Source organism: Homo sapiens, chromosome 1, assembly GCF_000001405.40.
Source record: "Homo sapiens chromosome 1, GRCh38.p14 Primary Assembly".
In the NCBI taxonomy this organism is placed as follows: domain Eukaryota; kingdom Metazoa; phylum Chordata; class Mammalia; order Primates; family Hominidae; genus Homo; species Homo sapiens.
Window position 1 is genome coordinate 12118026 of NC_000001.11, and position 19017 is coordinate 12137042.

The 19017-nt window shown below is 50.4% G+C and overlaps 1 protein-coding gene across 6 annotated transcripts in view; it reads left to right on the top strand.

Annotated features, from left to right (window-relative positions):
- Positions 1-19017, top strand: part of TNFRSF8 (TNF receptor superfamily member 8) — an 80905-nt gene that overhangs the window by 54723 nt on the left and 7165 nt on the right. For 4 of the 6 annotated variants that reach the window (NM_001243.5, XM_011542441.4, NM_001281430.3 and 1 more), the window contains 5 exons: positions 5259-5352; positions 5690-5802; positions 7926-8027; positions 8158-8211; positions 17563-17588. In NM_001243.5, coding sequence (NP_001234.3) covers positions 5259-5352; positions 5690-5802; positions 7926-8027; positions 8158-8211; positions 17563-17588 — 389 coding nt within the window. The remainder of the gene's footprint in view (positions 1-5258; positions 5353-5689; positions 5803-7925; positions 8028-8157; positions 8212-17562; positions 17589-19017) is intronic. The other 2 variants (XM_047434793.1, XM_047434799.1) reach the window with 1 other exon arrangement.

Sequence of the window (19017 nt, forward strand, 5' to 3'; positions counted from 1 at the left end):
TTTCTTTCCTTATGATGGCTGAGTAGTATTCCATTGTGTATAGATGCCACATTTATCTATTGGTGGATGCAGCATAACCCTCCCCCCCCACCCTTTTCTTTTTGAGACAAAGTCTCGCTCTGTTGCCCAGGCTGGAGTGCAGTGGTATGGTCTCGGCTCACGGCAACCTCTGCCTCCTGGGTTTGAGCTATTCTTGTGCCTCAGCCTCCCAAGTAGCTGGGATTACAGGCGTGCACCACCACACCCGGCTAATTTTTGTATTTTTAGTAGAGACGGGGTTTCACCACATTGGTCAGGCTGGTCTCGAACTCCTGACCCCAGGTGATCTGCCTGCCTCAGCCTCCCAAAGTGCTGGGATTACAGGCGTGAGCCACCGCACCCGGCCAAGCATAACCCTTTTAAAATAAATATGAATGAGCAAAGATTTGTAAGAAAAACCAGCCCTACAAAGGAGAATAAAAAGATACGAAACCAGAAATTCTTACCACACATGAAGCTTTGATAAATCCAGGAATAGAAGAGTACTTAGCAACATTAAATTCGTGTCTGCAGAAAAATTCACGAAGTCGTTACATCCATAAGGTGGGCACAGAATGCTATGAAAAGGAACAATATGGGATCAGAGGGCAAGAAAAGGCTTTTTAGAAAGTGTGCTTGTGATCAGCCCATCATCTCTAGGTTCTCCATTCACCTTTCCATCCCTGCCCTGCCATCAACGATGGCTCCGCCTTTCTCCTCTGTAGGGAGCATGCAGTTAAGCCTTGCCAGCAGAGGGCGCTAGAGGGCCATCGCAGGAGGAAGGAGGCTTCTGGTTGCATTTGTTTTTTTGTTTGTTTGTTTGTTTCTTTTCTTTTTTTGAGACAGAGTCTCACTCTGTCGCCCAGGCTGGAGTGCAGTGACGCGATCTTGGCCCACCACAACCTCCACCTCCCGGGTTCAAGCAGTTTTCCTGCCTCAGCCTCCTGAGTAGCTGGGATTACAGGCACGCGCCACCACGCCTGGCTAATTTTTGTATTTTTAGTAGAGACAGGGTTTCACCATGATGGTCAGGCTGGTCTCGAACTCCTGACCTGGTGATCCGCCTGCCTCGGCCTCGCAAAAGTGCTGGGATTACCGGCGTGAGCCACTGCGCCCGGCCATTTGTTTCTTCTTGCTCCTGCTGCCTGGCCTGGTGACCACCTTGATGTGGCTCTCCCAATGCAGACATTGGCACGTGCCAGGCCTCATGTCTGCAAAAGTGTCCTGACTCCCTGATTCCCTCTGTGCATCCCCCACCAGCCACAGGTCTTTGGCACCCCAAAGTGCTCCAGGCGTCTCCCCCACAGTGGCAGCCTCAATTTCTCTGTGCACCTGACCAGAAGCATAGACTTCAGGTCAAAAGGACCTACCAAGAGCAAAGCAGGATTAATGGAAATTACCCACGCTACATGTAATAGATGCACCACCATGATTTTATCTACCTGCCGGTTGATGGCATTTGGGTTGTTTCCAGTTTAGGGCTATTATGAATGAAAACAGCTGTGAATATTCTTTTTTTTTTTTTAACATGTATGAATTTATCTTATATCTTTTATTATTATTTTTATTATTTTTAGAGACAGGGTCTCACTCTGTGTTCCAGGCTGGAGTGCAGTGGCATGATCTTGGCTCACTGCAGCATTGAACTCCTGGGCTCGGGCGATCCTCCCACCTCAGCCTCCCACAGTGCTGAGATTACTGGCATGAGCCACCATGACTGGCCGATTCTTGTACAAGTCTTTGGGTGGATGTATATTTTCATTTTTCATGGGTAAATACCTAGGAGGAGTGGCTAGGTCATTGTGCTGGTCACATAGTCAGAATGTTTTTGAGGACTAGTCAAAGCTGGATACCTCTGGTCTGATACAACCCCTTCGTTTTACACCCAGAGAGAAGCACAGGGCCGAAGCTAGAACCAGAATGCAGGGATCCCAAGGGTCAGCCCAGAGTACTTCCACTGGAAGACACCACCCACCCACCTCCTTCTTAGTTCTGAACCTAGAATTTACCCAGCTAAATTACAGTCACTTCAGCTAAATTACAATCAAGTTTGAAGGCAGCATAAAAACATTTTCAGACATAAAAGGTCCAGAAGGCTTTTCTTCCTATATCCTCTCCTAGGAAGATATTTGAAGATGTAATTCAGCTAAGTGAGGGGGCAAAAAAGAAAAACAACAGGAAGCCATGGAATCTAGAGACCAGCACTCCATCCTAGCAGAGCAAGGAAGGGAAGTCCCAGAATGATGTGGTATAGACCAGTTGAGCCAGATCAGAGCAGGAAAATGGAAGGAAGGCTCCGAGGAAGTGTTCCCAGGAATAGAAGAGAGAATTGTAGTAAATTTCATGATTAGTAGAGTTGAAAAGCCTGAGGATATGGTGAGGGCACACTGTCCTTTTATCAACAAGAAAAAGAAAGGCAATTGAAAACTCCCGGGAAAAGAAAAAGATGACAAGAAATATACAGTCCAAATATGAAGATGAAATTTCACCTGATTTTAAGCGATTGCTGGATGTACAAAAAGAGAATCTGTTTGGCCTTGATGCTGAGACAATTCTTTAAATGGCCCAAGGACTGGGTGTTTGGATTTAAAGAGAAGTATATCCATCTGGTAAATAATATTTTTTTTAGTTCTTAAATGGAGGCTGAGTAGGCAGGTTCTTTTCTTCTCTTCCAGTAGGCCATTACCAGAGAACACAGGCAGACCAACTAGGGGCTAGACAATGCCTTCTCCTCACCTTCAAATCCAAAGAGGAGGAAAAGGGGAGGATCACTGACTCAGGGAGGAAGAAGGAAAGTTACAAGTTAGGTATAGTATATTCAGAGAGGGGATGAGAGGCACCCAAGGGATACTAGGTTCCCCCCTTCTGCACATACAGGAGGGACAGCAGATCTGTCGCTGGATTTCAGCAGGTGTTTCAGCAGCAGCTGAGACCATGGGCCTGTCTAGTTACATCAGGCTGCCTTGGAGAGCAGGCAGGGGGCTCTCTCCTCATGATGCTGACTGGGAATAGCCACAGTTAATGGGTTTGAGCATCAGAGCTCCAGTCCACTCAAAGTAAGTGTTCACTGAAACCCAATGACCTTTCAAACACTGATTCAAATACTGATTAACGAGCATGTAGGAACCATCATAACACATCGCATCATCTTCCCCATAGTCTCCAGGCTCCAGCTAATTCAGGTAAGAGTCCAGTGACCTTCCCCAAAGAGGGGGGTTCCTCAGAACCCTACAATGCAAGAAATAAATTAATCCTGGCTTTACTTTTTTGTCTATTTGAGGAAAAATCTGAGAGGCGTCACGAACACTTTGTAGAGGGGAGATGTGGGTATGTGTGTGGGGTTGCTTTGTACCACATCAAAAAGGGGTGCCTCCACCAGGGCTCTGGGGGTGGAGAGGTGTAGTGACTGAGCATAACCCACTTCTAATGTGGGCCAAATTATCCTGCCCCAGAAAAGCAGGAAGCTTTGAAGAAGGTGCCCAGTCCCCAGGCAGGAGGCAGTGCCATCCAGAGGAGAGTGCTCTGGGCTGGAACTCGCCATCTCTGTTTCCTGGCTGTAGCTCCAGCCCTGCGGCTCTCTCCATCTGTAAAACAAGGTAGCTGGGTCAGACCAGTGGTGGCCAGCTATGAACTGGCCTTCAGAGACATTCCGTCTGGCCAGCATAGCAATCCAGCCACCCTTCCTAGGCACTCAAGAGGAATGAAATTATACGTTCACACAGAGGCACGCACAAGAATACTCACAGCTGCCTTGTTCGTCATAGTTCAAACTGGAAACAACCCAAATGTCCATCAACTAGCGAACGGGTATGTAAACAGTGGTTCATCTGTACAACAGAACGCCATTTGGCAACAGAAAGGAATGAAGCTGAATGAATATCAAAAACATTATGCAGAGTGGAAGAAGCCAGACCCCAAAGAGTACATACTGCATGATTCTGTCGACATGAAATTCTGGAACAGATACACTCCTCTATAGTGACATAAAGCAGATCGGTGGTTGCCTGGATCTGGAGGTGGGGGCAGAGTGAGTGAGGAGGGGCACTAGGGAACCTTCTGGAGGGATGAGAATGTTCTGTATTTTGATTGGAGTTAGTTACCTTTGTCAGAACTCATCAGGCTGTACACACTTAGGGACATTTTCTTTTTTTATTTTTACTTATTAAAAATAGAGACAGGGTCTTGCTATGTTGCTTAGGCTGGTTTCGAACTCCTGAGCTCAAGTGATCTGCCTGCTTCAGCCTCCCAAAGTGCTGGGATTACAGGCGGGAGCCACCCTACCCTGCCAGGGGATACTTTCTTGTATATAAATGTTGCCTTAGGCTGGGCATGGTGGCTCACGCCTACGATCCCAGCACTTTGGGAGGCTGAGGTGGGCGGATCACTTGAGGTCAGGAGTTCGAGACCAGCCTGGTCAACATGGTGAAACCCTGTTTCTACTAAAAATACAAAAATTAGCTGGGCATGTTGGCAGGCACCTGTAATCCCAGCTACTCAGGAGGCTGAGGCAGGAGAATCACTTGAATCCGGGAGGCAGAAGTTGCAATGAGCTGAGATCGTGCCACTGCACTCCAGTCTGGGCAGCAGAGGAAGACTCAATCTCAAAAAATTAAACATAAATAAATAAATAATTCCTTAATAAAGTTGATTTAAAAGAAAAAAACTTTAAAAATTGAGGCTGTATTTAAACATTAGGCGATTTCAGTTTTCTCTTAAAAGCAAAAGGTCTAGCGTCACTGTTTCACCTTCCTGGGTGACCACAGCTGTTAGAGACAAGTAGCAACTTCTCCACTTTGTTTTATTTATTTTGAGTCTTTCTCTGTCGCCCAGGCTGGAGTGCAGTGGCATGATCTCAGCTCACTGCAGCCTCCACCTCCCGGGTTCAAACGATTCTCCTGCCTCAGCCTCCTGAGTAGCTAGGATTACAGGTGTGTGCCATCACACCTGGCTAATTTTTGTGTTTTTAGTAGAGATGGGGTTTCACCGTGTTGGTCAGGCTGGTCTCGAACTCCTGACCTCAAGTGGTCCTCCTGCCTCAGCCTCCCAAAATGCTGTGATTACAGGTGTGAGCCAATGTGCCTGGCCAGCTTTTCCACTTTGATCTTTTGAAACACAAATCTGACTGTCTTAGCTCCCACGGTGTTGCCTCGCTGGAAGCCACCAGTCCCTGCTGGTTAACTCTTTCCTGGAGACACCAGCCTCCTTGGCGCTGGTTCTCAGATGTTACGTCCCCTCTGCAGATATGGCTGAGAAGGACACCACCTTTGAGGCGCCACCCCTGGGGACCCAGCCGGACTGCAACCCCACCCCAGAGAATGGCGAGGCGCCTGCCAGGTGACTCCCCCACCCCTTCTCTCTGTTTGGCTGCTGCAGGAGGGAGCTGTCCCTGCCATGCCCAGGGGATGCCTGGGAGGCAGCTGGGCTGGGGGTGGAGGTGGGGCCTGGGCTGCTCTTTTGTTAAATGTGTGCCCATCTCTTTGCTGACACCATTGGAAAGCCAGAAGGCCTTGAAACCCAGTCCCTGCCCTCAAAATGCCTGGCAGAGACTCGGGGCAGAGGATCTAGGGGCCCAGGCTCTGGTTGCGCAGTCTCCAGAGAAAGGGAATTATTCCTGAAGACCCACTTCCCTCTTCCCATCTTCATCACTCCTGCCTTGGGCTTCTCCCCGCAGCACCAGCCCCACTCAGAGCTTGCTGGTGGACTCCCAGGCCAGTAAGACGCTGCCCATCCCAACCAGCGCTCCCGTCGCTCTCTCCTCCACGGGGAAGCCCGTTCTGGATGCAGGTAATGGTCCCAGCCCACTCACCCCTACTCCCAGCAGGGGCTTCCTCCTGGGGAAGTGTGGATTGGGGGAGCCAGGAGGGAGCTTCTCCTTTGTGGGTATGGTCTGAGAAGGGGGATTAAGGTTGACCCCAGGTTTCTGGCTTCTTGAGTTGGTGCTGTGGCTCTGGCACTTGCTAGTGACTATTCTTTTCTTTTTGAAACAGTCTCACTCTGTTGCTCAGGCTGGAGGGCAGTGGCACCCATCTTGGCTCACTGCAACCTCCACCTCCCAGGTTCAAGAGATTCTCCTGTCTCAGCCTCCCGAGTAGCTGGGTTTACAGGCGCTTGCCACCACGCCTGGCTAAATTTTTTTTTAATTTTTAGTAGAGACGGGGTTTTGCCATGTTGTCCAGGTTGGTCTCAAACTCCTGACCTCAGGTGATCCACCTGCTTCAGCCTCCCAAAGTGCTAGGATTATAGGTGTGAACCACTGCGCCTGGCTGCTAGTGACTATTCTTTAATTCTTGTAGGCAGGAATTTTTTTCACAGCTTCATCCTCGTGGCTTATAATTGCTACTCAGAAAATAGGTCTTTGTTGATTGATTTCATGACTTTGACTAGTTGTTCGAGCCTTTGAGCCTCAGTTGTCTCATCTATACAATGGTAATGGCAGAGACCGTGCAGGGTTATAAGCAGTGTAGCATTGTAGACGGCCTCTGTCAGAGTTAGCTCTTAGGCTGGACGCGGTGGCTCACGCCTGTAATCCCAGCACTTTGGGAGGCCAAGGTGGGTGGATCACGAGGTCAGGAGTTTGAGACCAGCCTGGCCAACACGATGAAACCACATCTCTACTAAAAATACAAAAATTAGCCAGGCGTGGTGGCGCGCGCCTGTAATCCCAGCTACTCAGGAGGCTGAGGCAGGAGAATCGCTTGAACCCGGGAGGCGGAGGTTGCAAGGTTGCAGTGAGCCGAGATTGCACCGCTGCACTCCAGCCTGAGCAGCAGAATGAGAATCAGTCTCAAACAAAACAAAACAAAACAAAACAAAACAAAACAAAACAAAACAAAACAAACAAAACCCCCAAGAGTTAGCTCTTAGGGAAAGATGCCAGGTTACTCATTTTAGGACTTGCAGTTCTAGTGGCTGACACGAGGTGGCAGTAGTGCTCCGGCCAGAGTTTCTGAAAGTGCGGTCCCGTCTGGCAGCATTGGCACCGGCTGGGAACTTGTTAGGAAAGCAAATTATGGGCCCCATCCCAGACCTAGAGAATCAGAAACTGCACTTTAACAAGATCTCCAGGGCACTCATGTGCACATTAACGTTTGAGAAGCACTTAACTGGCATATACTACTTTTTAAACATCTAAACATGGACTTCAATAAAGTGCAATCACTAGCTCTATGATCTCTGTAAGTGACAAAAGGGAAAAACGAAGCGAGTTTAGTACCGAGGTGTGAAGAAGTAGATCTAGATAGGGGTTAAGAGCGTGGCCCTGCAGTCCCCCCGGCCTGGCCTGGCCTGGGCTGGGGCTCTGCCACTTACTCTCAGGGTGACCTTGGGCAACTTAACGAACTTTCGTGAGCCTCAGCTCCCCTCATTTTTAAACTGAAGGTAGTGACGGTGCCTAGGGCATAGGGTTGGGGATCATTCATTCAGGGAACGCTTGTGGGGTGTGTTTATGTGCAGTGGGGACTCCATGCCTGCCCTCATCAAGCAGGTCTAGAGGGTTGGCCGGGAGGGGACTGGGTTCAACCTCTTCCTTCCCCTCACTGCTTGGCCCTCCCCACCCTGACTCCGGCCACACCAGCAGTGCTGCCAGATGCCGGTCACACCGGGCCCTCGTCCACAGTCCCCAAATTTTGGTCTATTGGACCTCAATTCCTTTGTTCTGGCTCCTAGACGCCTCAATTTCTCACTCTCTAGACACAGTTTGCCCTTCTCTCAGCCTTCAATAGTTGATCAGCTTCCTGGAGCCAGGCGAGGGAGGGCTGGATGAGATAAGAGCCTTGGCTTGGAAAGGACCTGTTGTTGTTAGCCATGATGGAAGCTGTGTCCCAGGAGAAGGAGGAAGTCGTCTGGGGCTGGGGCTGTCTTGTGTGGTTGCAGCAAGGCAAAGAGTGTGGGGCGTCTCTGTGTTCCAGGGCCAGTGCTCTTCTGGGTGATCCTGGTGTTGGTTGTGGTGGTCGGCTCCAGCGCCTTCCTCCTGTGCCACCGGAGGGCCTGCAGGAAGCGAATTCGGCAGAGTAAGTGGCTGTGTCCTTGGGGCCTTGGGGAGGACAGGTTGCTCTCTGCCAGCCTGGCCTGGGTTCTTTCCCTGCCTGCTCCTGCTCTCTGAGGCCGCCACCCCCAGCCTTCCTCCTGGTGTCGTTTCAGAGCTCCACCTGTGCTACCCGGTCCAGACCTCCCAGCCCAAGCTAGAGCTTGTGGGTGAGTGTCCAGCCGTCCAAAGGGGCTGCCCGAGCCAGAGGAACACAGGGCAGCTCTGGGCCCGGGGCGTGGGCTCCAGAGACTGAACTTCTACCCCAGCCTCGAAGCTCCCTGTCTGTGGCTCCTGTCGCATTCTGTACATCTGTAGGGATGCAATGTGGGTGAAAACTCATGCGTGTGGAGAATGCAATGAGGTGAAGACTGTACTGGGTGTGACGACTGTGTGGCTTGCCCAGAGCAGCACCTGGATGGATGCTGGCATGAACGTTTAAAAGTCTATCTTGTCTGTCACTTTTTCCTCCAGTACCCCCAGGGGGCATTCCTGCCAGCCTTGCCTTCCTCTCTACATTCTACCCTCCCTTTCTCCCTCTCCCTCCTTCTCTTTCTCTTTCCCCTCTCTCCCCCTCTTCTACCACCTGGCAAGTCAGCCCAGGGGCAGGAGGGGAAAGGAGCACATGGGGCAAGAGGGACCCTGGTTCTGCCACTTACAAGCTGTGTGACCCTGGGTGAGTTACTGAATTGTCCTGTGTCTCAGTTTCCTCATCCGGAAAATGCAGATGGTAGAATCTACTTCAGAGGCTTGGCCTGTGGATTCGTCGAGGTCGGGCTGTTAAGCGCATCGTGGAGTACCTGCCTGCAATCGGTGGCTGCTGCCTATTGACAGGCTGGCCTGTGCCTGGGGCTTTTTCCTTCCTGGAAGCTTCAGGCCTTCCTGAGTCCTGGGTGCTTCTGACCCCCTCCCTGGTCCCTGCACTCTGATCCCTGCCCAGCCTCTGGGCCAGCTCTTCCAGGCAGCCCTTGGGAGCTGGAACCCTCCTCACCTGTCCAGGCAGGGTCGTCTATACAGCGTGTGTCTTCTAGCTCTCACCTGGGGCAGGGGGCTCCCAGCTATCTTGTGCCAAGCACCTTCTCTCTCCTGGGCAGCCCCTTCAAGGCAGGCCAGGGTCTTCCTCAGCACTGCATGGCATGGATTGGGTGCCTGCTCTGTGCTGGGCTCTGATGGGGGAATCGTCTGAGCCTTCGTTTCTGATTTGCAAGGTGGGCTCCCATACAGGCTTCCTGTACTCCCCCAGTGATGACCTTTGTTCTGCAAGGAGGAGGCAGGGCTCAGCAAGGTGGACGGCTGGCCCAGGGCCACACAGCCTGGCAGTGGCACAGCCAGCCTCAGGCACTGGTCCTAGGGGTTTTGGTTTGTAAAGGGCTCAGCCCTGTCCCCTCTTCCTTCCCCCTGCCAGCTCTGTCCACCATCGCAATGCCTACCCAAGAGCCACGTGCTCAGCCTAAGGCCAGGCCCTGGCCCGTCCCCTGATCTCCCCAGGACCCTTGCAGAGGCCCTTGCATAGGCTGACTGTTGACTTGGGCACAAAAACACAGTCCACTGAGGCATGTTTTGAATTTGACGAGTTTCACAAGCAAGCACTGTGGTCCCTGTGCAAGGGGGGTTTTTGTGTTTTGATAGTTTCAAGCCTGTTTCCATGACCTGTCAGGCTGAGTGTCTCATTGAAACCGGCGTTTGCTTTCTTGACATTTTTCTAGTATTAGAATTTCCATTGCCGTCAGTTTATTTTTTTTCTTCAAACCTCTGTGAGAGCAGTTTTGTTACAGAAGAAAAAAAGAAAGAAAGAAAGAAAACACCTTCCCCTAAGAAGCCAGGTCTACAAAGAACTGAGCCCTGAGACTCAATGGTGGACATCTTATCTCAGGTCGTTTTTGACCCTCTAGCTTCTGGTGGGACCTTGGGGTCTGGGTTCCGAGGCTCAAGATGGACAGAAAGTGAAGCCAAGACAGGCAAGCTCACAGAGCACCGGGTGAGAATGGACCGAGCTGGCCGGATGCCCCTTTCCCTCCTGAGCCGTGGGTGGTGAAGGAGGGAAGGAGCACTGGTTTATTGGCACTGGTTTATTGGTTCGTTCATTCATCTATTCACATGGTCTTCACGGAGCACTTCCTCCTTGCAGGCTCTGTGCCGGGCCCAGAAGCTGTTCTAGCTCCCTCCAAGCTTTTAGACTAATTCCGACTGCCCGCAGAGGCCAAAGGCAGACGGGAGGGGAGTGTGCGCCCCTTGGCCTCCCACATCCCAGACCTGGGGCAGAGGGTGCTCTTGGTTCCTTTGAGCAGTGAGCACATCAGGGATCTGTGGTCCGTGCAGGTGCGATGAGAGGCCCACCAACCAGCCCTCGAGTGGATCGACCTTCCCGTGTGTGTCCTCGGTGACAGGCATTTGCAAAGCACACACGTGATCTCATCCACTCCTCCGGTGGCCTGTGAGGTACTTACTGTTATCCCCGTTGCACAGATTAGCAGCCTAAGGCACAGGATGGTGAAGTAATTCGTTTAAGGCCACGTGCTGGGTGAGCCGTAGGACGGGGATTTTATCGTGGTTGTTGAGATGTTTGTAAAAAGATTTTTCACCCTTGGCACCATTGACATTTGGGAATGGATGGTTCTTTGCTGTGGAGCGCTATCCTATAGGACGTTGTACAGCCCCTCTAGATGCCAGTAACCTTCCCTACTTGGGACAACCAAAAATGTCTCTAGACATTGCCATGTGGCCCCTGGGGAAAACCTCCTGGTTGAGAACCACTGGTCTAAAATTCTTTTTTTTTTTTTTTTTTTGAGACAGAGTCTCGCTCTGTCACCCAGGCTGGAGTGCACTGGTGCCATCTGGGTTCACTGCAACCTCCGCCTCACGGGTTCAAGTGATTCTCCTGCCTCAGCCTCCTGAGTAGCTGGGATTACAGGCTCCTGCCACCATGCCTGGCTAATTTTGGTATTTTTAGTAGAGACGGGGTTTCACCGTGTTGGCCAGGCTGGTCTCAAACTCCTGACCTCATGATCCGCCTGCCTCGGCCTCCCAAAGTGCTGGGTTTGCAGGCATGAGCCACCATGCCTGGCCTTAAAATTCTTTTAATCCTTCATTTTTATGAGCACTTGAGTCATTTTCTATTATTCCAGGGAGATTTAGGTTGAAAGAAATTCTTTTTTTGTTTTGAAACAGTTTCAAACTTATAGAAATGGTATAAGTATGAAGAATTCATTTTGACCTGAACCATTTGAGAGTAACTGACTGACTGGATGTCTCTCACCCCGAAAACTTCAGTGTGTGTTTCAGACAGACAAGGGTGTATTTTACACGATGTGGTAAGGATCGTCAGAATTGGAATTCACACTGATACATGACCCACAATGAATTCTCAGGCCCTGTTGAAGTTTCTTTATTTGTCCCAATAATGTCCTTTATAGCAGAGGACTCCAGCTCAGGGCCACGTGTTACATTTGCTTGTCTGGTTTCTCGAGTCTCCTTCTGTCCGGATCCGTTCCCCAGGCGTTTCTTTCACTTACTGGGAAGAGCGCAGGCTGGTGATTTCATGGATGCTCCTTGCTTTGGGTTTGTCTGGTGTTTTCTCCCGAGTGGATTCAGGTCATGCATCTTGGGCTGGAAGGTCCCAGGAATGATGCTGGCCTCTTCTCTCTCAGGGCGTCCTGCCAGGTTTCGATGTCTCCCTTTCCTGGTGCTGTGTACTTTGAGCGCTCGACGGAGGTGATGTCCTGCCGGGCCTCTCCACTGTGACGTCTCCATTTGCTCCTCGGTCATTACTAAGTCTTTAGGGGCGTTACTTGAGACTATGTCAATAGCCCATTCTTCAGCAGACCTTCATTTTCTCTATTTATTTGTTTATTTTTTTGAGACAGGGTCTGGCTCTGTCACCCAGGCTGGAGTGCAGTAGTGTGATCTCGGCTTACTGCAACCCCCGCCTCCTGGGTTCAAGCAATTCTCCTGCTTCAGCCTCCCAAGTGGCTGGGATTACAGGCGTGTGCCACACAATGCCTGGCTCATTTTTTGTATTTTCAGTAGAGACAGAGTTTCACCATGTTGGCCAGGCTGGTCTCGAACTCCTGGCCTCAAGTGGTCCTCCCGCCTCGGCCTCCCAAAGTTCAGGGATGACAGGCGTGAGCTGCCACCGCGCCCAGCCCAGAACTTAATTTTCTTCACTTACATATTTATATCTGTATGGATTCATGGGGCCCTGTTCTGTTCAATGGGTTGTAATCTCTTACCATCATTTTTTATTTTGGTGCTCAAATGGTCCCAGATGAGGTCAGGGAGAGCCCCTTTAAGCTGGCTCTTGTGTGCTTTGGTGTATCCTCATCCTGTGCTTTGAGCACGTCCCTTATTCTGAGATGTTCCCAGCTTAACTTGTGTGCTCCTGCCCCGGCCCTGGAATCAGCTGCCTCTCCAAGGAGCCCGGGGTTTGCATCTCGGGGTACCTGTTGCCAAAGCCTAGCTGAACCTCTGTGCCAAATTCCCCCCTTGGGCCTGTTCTGCTTCCCACAGCACTGGGGAATCACAGGCCAGAGAGGGGAGGGGACTAAAAGTGGAGAATAACAGGGATGGAAGGGACCGAGAGCTTTACATCGCATGTGAGAACGCACGTGCTCCGTGAGCGTGGGCTTCAGAGCAGCCTGTGACACCGTGCACTTGTGCAAGGGGGCCTGCTGCTGCCCAGCATGGTCCTGGACTTGTGTCCCTGGGGGTACCAGACAGGCTTACAAGAAGACAGTGGTTATTCCAAAAGGCAAGGAAACCAACAAATAAGACTAGCAGATAGAATCAACATTTTTAGGGGAAGAGCAGTTATGAAATCTGACCTCTGTACTTGGCAAGATTTGTTCTGGGTCTTTATCAAAATCCTCATGGGTTGTAACACGGCTCTTGTCAATGTCAGAGCCTTCCAGATTCCGCCTTTTTACCTCTGTGATTTTACACTTGTTTGGGAGAGTCGGTATTGAACTCTGACTTTCCATTCAGTGTGACGGAGTGCAGAGCCATGTTACTTACCATCCTGGGCTTTTCCTGAACCTGCTGTGTGCTCAACAGCATCCTGGACACCTTCTTTTTAAAATAGTTTAATTTTTAAAAATTCTAAGTAGGCCAGGTGTAGTGGCTCACACCTGTAATCCCAGCACTTTGGGAGGCCAAGGTGGGTGGATCACCTGAGGTCGAGAGTTCAAGACCAGCCTGGCCAACAAGACAAAACCCCATCTCTACTAAAAATAAAAAAATTAGCCAGGCATGGTGGCACACACCTGTAATCCCAGCTACTCGGGAGGCTGAGGCAGGAGAATTTCTTGAACCTGGGAGGTGGAGGTTGCAGTGAGCTGAGATTGCACCACTGCACTCCAGGCTGAGCAACAGAGCGAGCCTCCGTCTCAAAACAAACAAACAAACAAACAAAAAAACATTCTAAGTGGCCTTCATTTTTAAGTTTTTTGTTTTTTGTTTTTTGTTTTGGAGACAGGGTGTCACTCTGGAGTGCCATGGTACAATCATGGCTCACTGCAGCCTTGACCTCCTGGGTTCAAGTGATCCCTCAGCCTCCCCAGTAGCTGGGACTACAGATACACACCACCACGCCCAGCTAACTTTTCTATTTTTTGTAGAGACCAGGTCTCCCTTTGTTGTGCAGGCTGGTCTCTAACTCCTGAGCTCAAGTGATCTGCCCACCTCGGCCTCCCAAAGTGCTTGGATTATAGGCGAGAGCCACTGTGCCCAGCTAGTCCTCATTTTTTTTTTGAGGCAGAGTCTCGCTCTGTTGCCCAGGTTGGAGTGCAATGGCGCAATCTCAGCTCACTGCAACCTCTGCTTCCCGGGTTCCAGCAATTCTCCTGCCTCAGCCTCCCGAGTAGCTGGGATTATAGGCGCGCGCCACCATGCCCAGCTAATTTTTGTATTTTTAGTAGAGATGGGGTTTCACCAGGTTGGCCAGGCTGGTCTGGAACTCCTGGCATCGTGATTTGCCCACCTCAGCCTCCCAAAATACTGGGATTACAGGCATGAGCCACCACGCCCAGTCTCATTTTTAAAAATAGTTTTAGATGTACAGAAAATTGGAGAAGACAGCACAGGAGTTCCCACATGCCCCACACCCAGTTTCCTCTGTGATTAGCATCTTAAGCCAGCATCGTTCATTTGTCAAAATATGTGAACCATTATTGACACAGGATTACAAACGAAAGCCCACACTGTGTTCAGGGTTCCCTTGCATTGCCTAAGGTTCCAGGATCCCATCCAGGAGCCACGTCACATTCAGTCATCATGTCGCCTTAGGCTACTCTGGCCTGTGGCCGTTTCTCAGATCTTGTTTCTCAAGACCAGTTTCCCTGATGGCCTTGGCAGTTTTTGAGTATTGATCAGGTGTTTTGCGGGACGCCTGTCTCCTGGGATCTGTCTGATGTCTTCCCCATGATTAGACTGGAGTTATGCATTGGGGGAAGAAGACCACAGAGGTGAAACGTCATGCTCATCACATCAAATCTTGGCTGGGCGCAGTAGCTCATGCCTGTAATCCCAGCACTTTGGGAGGCCAAGCCTGGCAGATCACCTGAGGTCAGGAGTTTGAGACCAGCCTGGCCAACATGGTGAAACCCTGTCTCTACCGAAAATACAAAAATTAGCCGGGTGTCATGACACGCACCTGTAGTCCCAGCTACTTGGGAGGCTGAGGCAGGAGGATCGCTTAAACCCCAGAGGCAGAGGTTGCATTGAGCTGAGAACGTGCCACTACACTCCAGCCTCGGTGACAGAGCGAGACTCCATCTCAAAAAAAAAAAAAAAAAAAAAAAAATCAACCTGATTTACCACTGGGCACCTTCACTTTTGATATCTCTTTTAATCTTCTCAACAAGCCCCAAAGTTGATGTGATTCATCCCATTTTCCAGCTGGGAGGACAGAGGCTCGGAGAAGGGAAGTAATATTGTGCTGAGTTTCACCGCCAAGGAGGCCCCTGCTCCAGGGTGGCTAAGCGGCCTCATTGTTTTTGACATTTGGCTGGTTTTCAATTTGAGGGTTATTATAAACCCGCTGCTGTGCTCGGCCTTTTTGTTTTCTTTCGGGTTATTTCCTGAGGGTGTGTTCCCTCAAGAGGGATGACTGGGTAAAGAGTGTGAGGTTTTTGTTGCCAGATGGCTCTTTAGAAAAATGGAACCAGCCTGCAGGGTATGGGCAGCTCTGCGATCCCGTTCACCCACTTCCCCTTCAAGGCCGAGTTGTGTCATTTTTATTTATTTTGTTTTGTTACTTTGTCACACTTTTTTTTTTTTATTCTGTTGGCCACCCCCAGTGACTTGGTACCAAAGAACAGTTGGCTGCTTGTAAAACTCAAAATCACTCTGGAGGGACCATGATTTAGTTTCACTGACGTCATTGAAAAGAATGTGCCTCGGCCGGGTGCCGTGGCTCACGCCTGTAATCCCAGCACTTTGGGAGGCCGAGGCGGGTGGATCACGAGGTCAAGAGATCGAGACCAGCCTGGCCAACATGGTGAAACCCCGTCTCTACTAAAAATACAAAAATTAGCTGAGCATGGTGGTGCGTGCCTGTAATCCCAGCTACTCGGGAGGCTGAGGCAGGAGAATCGCTTGAACCCAGGAGGCGGAGGTTGCAGTGAGCCGAGATCGCGCTGCTGCACTTCACCCTGGCGACAGAGTTAGACTCCATCTCAAAAAAAAAAAAAAAAAAAAAAAATTACCCCTGGCCGGGCAAGGTGGCTCATGCCTGTAATCCCAGCACTTCGAGAGGCCGAGGCGGGCAGATCACCTGAGGTCAGGAGTTGGAGACCAACCTGGCCAACATGGTGAAACCTTGTTTCTACTAAAAATACAAAAATTAGCCGGGCGTGGTGGCACATGTCGGTAATCCCAGCTACTTGTGAGAATTGCTTAAACCTGTGAGGCAGAGGTTGCAGTGAGCCAAGATCGTGCCACTGCACTCCAGCCTGGGTGACAGAGTGAGACTCTGTCTCAAAAAAAGAAAAAATTACCCCTAAGAGTGTTTCCCAAACTCACCTAGTGTCCACACAGCGTGTTCAAATGGTCAGTCTTGCGTATACTTTATCCTACTTGTTGACTGAGCACTGGTGAGCATATCTGTGAGGACTCAGGGCTGGTGGCTCTCCAGAGCTGCTGAAGTCAGAGATGTGTGCAGGAGGCGGCGTGGCTGACATACGGGCATCTTGGTGGCAGATTTGTCTAGCCAGGGATGTGTGCCTGACAACAGCATATTCCAGATCTCCGTAGGTAGCGTTCTCAGGAGTGGTTAAAAGCTGGGCATCCCTGGAGGATGGTCTGCTCTGGGAACTGACTTGCTCCAGGATGAGTTAGATGCCCGGATGCCCTCTCACCTTTCTCAGATGGCCAGTGAGCCAAGGTTAAATGTTAAATGTCAATATGTGCTTGGGCGTGACCTGGCCCCTGTTTAATATGGGAGAACAATGGGAGTGGAGGGTAGAGGTTTGAGATGAGAAGATAGAGGTTGTGCGTTGAGAATCATTGTATCAGCACCTCCTGAGCCTACAAAAGGATGGGATTGAAGGAAATGAGATGGCCCGAGAGCAGTTGTCCTCCTCGAAGGCTGCCACCTGGGTGCTTTCAGGCACAAGAAAGAGAAAATCGAAGTCCAGCTGGAGTCAGAAGGGCTCCACAGCAGACTGGCTTCGGGCGTGTCCCAGGCAGGGTCCAGGTGGCATCTGCAGGATCCATCATCCTGTCTCCATGACCTGCCTTGAGGTCCTCCATGTGGGTTTTGCCTGGTATTCCAGAGAATTCGGGGCTCTCCACACCCTGGAGACAGTAAGGTGGGCGCAGCAGCCACAGACGAGCCTCTGACCCAGTGGAAGCCTCCTGGGCTCTGGTTGGGCCTGTGCTTCTCGTGAACCAATCCTTGCATGTGCGCGGGGGTGGGGGTTGGGAGAGTGGTTCAGTGTGTTCATTGGTTTAGTCATTAGGAATGAGAGTGGCAGCCAGGTGTGGTGGCTCACGCCTGTAATCCCAGCACTTTGCAAGGCCAAGGCGGGCAGGTCAGGAGGTCAGGAGTTTGAGACCGGCCTGGCCAACGTGGTGAAACCCCGTCTCTACTGAAAATACAAAAAAATTAGCTGGGGTTGGTGGCACGAGCCTATAATCCCAGCTATTCGGGAGGCTGAGGCATGAGAATCACTTGAACCCAGGAGGCGGAGGTTACATTGAGCCGAGATCATGCCACTGCACTCTAGCCTGGGTGACAGAGTGAGACTCCATCTCAAAAAAAAAAAAAAAAAAGGAATGAGAGTGGCCAGGGGATAGAGGTGGTCCCCTGTCCTCCATCTGCCACTGGAGAAGTGAGCCTCCTTGCCTTGAGCTGGGGTGGGCACTGACTCTGAAACCCATCGAGGGCTCTCCAGACTGAGGACCTGACCCCTGGGCTGAGTTCAGCACCACCTGTGATCCAGGAGGACCATTTGCCAATAGTTGGGGCGGGTGGGGCCGGGGGCTGCCAGACTCCTTGGTGAAGTTGCTGCTCTTGCTTTTTGCAGATTCCAGACCCAGGAGGAGCTCAACGGTAAGTACCCCTCCCTTGCCCCCACCTCAGCTTCGTGCCCCTAAATCTGACTCCTTCCCTAACAGATCTGAAGTTTTGAGAGCTGCTGGGGGAAGGGAGAGGGAGGGGACGGACTGGCCATTCCCCTCCCACAGTGCCCAGGGTGCAGGCCCGTCCTGCAAGTTCAGGCTGAGTCTGACCCACCACAGGGACCTCTGTGCACAGAGGCCTCGCCTGGGGCCTCAGCCAGGCCTTGGCTAAGGATGGAGAGCCCCACCCTCATAGCAGCCTCCAGCTCCTGGCTCAGCCTGCCGGGAATTTCCAGAAGGGCCTGCACACAGTGGATTTGGTTTGGGCCACTTTTGGGTACCAGGTCTGGTCAGGAGGAAGACTGTGTTCATTTTCCCCTTTTCTTTACTCTTCCATGAATCTCATCCTCCAAGCTGGATGACAGAGCAGGTGGCTATGGTCCATTCCTTTTTTTTTTTTTCCCCATCTGTCAGTTCTTCCATTACTTTCTTTTAATTCAAGCATTCATACATTAAGAAGGGTTTCTATCCTTTCATTTTTCAATATAATATACACAACCATAATGCTAGTTCAGTTTCAAATTATGGGGGATCACATTCGAATATGCTTGGATGTGACAAGTGGCTGTTACAATACTGAGAAATTTCATGAAAGAGGTATTCAACAATTTGTAAGGTAATCAAATATGTTTTTGCTGCATAGGCCAATGCATTAATAGTAACTTGTTTTAAAATGCAGTCTTTTGGCCGGATATGATGGCTCACACTTAAAATCCCAGCATTTTGGGAGGCTGAGGCAGGCGGATCACCTGAGGTCAGGAGTTCGAGACCAGCCTTGCCAACATAGTGAAACCCCGTCTCTACTAAAACTACAAAAAGTATCCAGGTGTAGTGGCACACGCCTGTAGTCCCAGCTACTCAGGAGGCTGAGGCAGGAGAATCGCTTGAGCCTGGGGGACAGAGGTTGCAGGGAGCCGAGATTGCACCACTGCTCTCCCAGCCCGGGTAACAGAGTGAGACTCCATCTGAAAAAAAAAAAAAAAAAAGGCAGTCTTTTAGCCTTCATATTATTATGAAAGAGTATTCAAGAGTATGTATTAAGGTTGGTGCCATTTGCCATTAAAAGTAATGGCAAACCTGGTTTAACCCTTCTGATAGGTAGTTGTGGATGTTGGGGTTGAGAACAGAATAATCTTTGTCTGGAGTGACACCACACTCTAGAATTTCCACTTTGAAAAATACTCAGTTCTTTTTTTTTTTTTTTTTTTTTTTTTAATTTTTTTAGTATTTATTGATCATTCTTGGGTGTTTCTCAGAGAGGGGGATTTGGCAGGGTCATAGGACAATAGTGGAGGGAAGGTCAGCAGATAAACATGTGAACAAAGGTCTCTGGTTTTCCTAGGCAGAGGGCCCTGCCGCCT